The 2313-nt window shown below is 32.8% G+C and overlaps 1 annotated feature.

The window, feature by feature from the left end:
• Nucleotides 1101-2025: an enhancer, noted in NCBI's record as "NANOG hESC enhancer chr1:189868671-189869595 (GRCh37/hg19 assembly coordinates)". NCBI's record gives its function as "activates a minimal SCP1, AML or CMV promoter by ChIP-STARR-seq in naive H9 embryonic stem cells {active_cell/tissue: H9 hESC(naive)}" and the evidence as "EXISTENCE:reporter gene assay evidence [ECO:0000049][PMID:30033119]".

The following is a 2313-nucleotide window of genomic DNA, read 5'->3' as shown; positions in this document are numbered from 1 at the left end:
ATCATCTGGTTACTTGTCTAAAATGTAAATATTCAGTCCTCAACCCAGGCTTTTTGAATCAGAAACTCCGGGGTTGGGGCCTATTACTTTGTTTCAACAAGCCTTCCAGATTATTCTGATACAGGTAATTTTTCAGTGTTCTAAAGATAGTTCTGGGAAATTTTATAAACACTTAGAATGCCTTCCAATTGTTCAGAATTTGTCATATGACCATGACAAACCGCAAATCAGAATTAAAAAAATAAAATCTACTCTGGGTAGCCACAAGAAAAGCTAAACTCTTACAGGTATATTAAAAAATAGAGAATGAATAAAGGGGGCAATAGACAGTTTGCTATATCCACAACAGAATGTTAACATTTATAAAATATAATTTCTATAAGATTACATAATATTCATAATACATAATAATCATGTATAATTGACTAAAAATCAATATATGCTATTATATTTTTGAATGTATGTTTCCATATGAGTAGTAGTATATATTGACATGTCTCCAGAGTAAGAAGATGCAGTTTGTGGAAGAGGAGACTTTTACATTTTTCTTCACACTTCTGTGCATTTCTTATTTAAGTATCATATGCTACTTTGATAATTTAAAACAAAAAAAGAGAAAATATTCCTTCAAGAGACTTAATTGGTAAATTAGCAGTTTGAGATTGAAAACAATATGTCCCAATAGAATGAAAATGAAAGCAAATATCTAAATATTGCATGTTTTGCCAATATATTTTAGGATGTGATTGTAGAAGTTGAATGGCAACTCAGTGTTCTTTTTGTATGTATAATTCAGGATAAGTCCAAAAATGATGGTATAGCTGCCAGAATTCTTGCAAGAAGTCACATAATGATTCATAAATCCTATGAGAAGGCAAAATTAAAATCAGTCAATTATATTGCTTGTTAGCAACTGTGTAACGTTTTCTGAATTATGTAGATCACTGGTCTTTGAAATATAGTCCTTGGATCAGCAGCAGCAGAATCACCAAGAAACTTGTTAGAAATTCATATTCTTGGGCACTAACGCACACCTATTCAATCAGAAACTCTATGGGTGGAGCCCAATAATCTGCCTTGAAAAAAAAAGCTCTGCAGGTAATTCTGATGGAAGCTCAAGTTTGAGAACCACTGACCTAGATAATTACATTACCCTCTTGCTTTGTTTCCCTTCTGCAAACATGTCAGTAATTGCTATGGAAATGTATTATAATACAGTCAACATGCAATTATCTCTGATATTCAGGGAGCAGAATGATTTGGACAAGAGAATACCATGGATAATCCCCACATCTCTCTTTAGCTATTAGATTCAGACTCCACCCATCCGTAGATTTTTGCCAGAGCCCCTAATGAGAACTGCAATTGACTGACTCCTGTTTCAGCTCTTTTATTTCCTGGCCCACTCTCTGGTGAAGGTGCTAATGAGCAGTGAAATAGCCTGAAGGCAAACAGCAGGAGGGAAGAGGAGAGAGCTTTGTCCCTCTGAATATTTGAGAATATACTATGATATCAGAAACAATTTTTAAAAACCCTCTCCTTCCTGTCCTAAAACTTCTAAACATGACCATATTAAATTCATTTTTAAACACTTGATAGTCAAACTTTGAGCCATTATAATGGTAGTCATATATTCTCAAGATTACTGTCTCTCCTTTCAACTCCAGGCTGATTGTTTCTCTTTTCTTTAGTTCTGTTTGACTAGTTGTTTCAATCTGTTGTCTTCTATAACTGCAGTCAACAAAGCTTTTCTTTCCTTCCCTCTATATCTCTGTAAACTTTCATCTTCTTGTTCAATTGGCTTTGAATGCTAGTCTGAAAACCTACTTAAAAACAGATGAGAAAGAAAGGAAAAGTAAAATAACATTAAATACCAAGACATTATTATACATTTAATTCAAAAGGAGTGTCAGGGTTTACAACATCAAATAAACCTCAGTTTGAAGGGCATTATTTGGCTTCTCTTTCTGTATTGTTTTCTGAAAAGTGGTAGCAAGAAAAAAAATCTTCTTAGAAATTCTTTTGTGATTTTTGTTTGAAAAGAAAAACAAAAACTCGTATTATCAACATAGTCATAATAATACTAAACTCTTCTTTTTCTGTATTTTTGTTTGATTCAAAAGATAACCCCTCCAAAAAACCAATATTATATCATTATCTCCTAAATCTTAAAAGTAATTTTATGAGGTTTCTCAGGCATATAATTGTATTGTAAGTTATCTATTACTTAGTACAGTAAAAAGGACTGGTAGTATAACTGGCATGTTTACCCAAATGATACTGATGAGACCGTTACTACCAGCATTGATGCTG

Source organism: Homo sapiens, chromosome 1 (assembly GCF_000001405.40).
Source record: "Homo sapiens chromosome 1, GRCh38.p14 Primary Assembly".
NCBI classification, from domain to species: Eukaryota; Metazoa; Chordata; class Mammalia; order Primates; family Hominidae; genus Homo; species Homo sapiens.
Note: the sequence above shows the minus strand (reverse complement) of the source record. Positions and strands in the feature narration are given on the sequence as shown.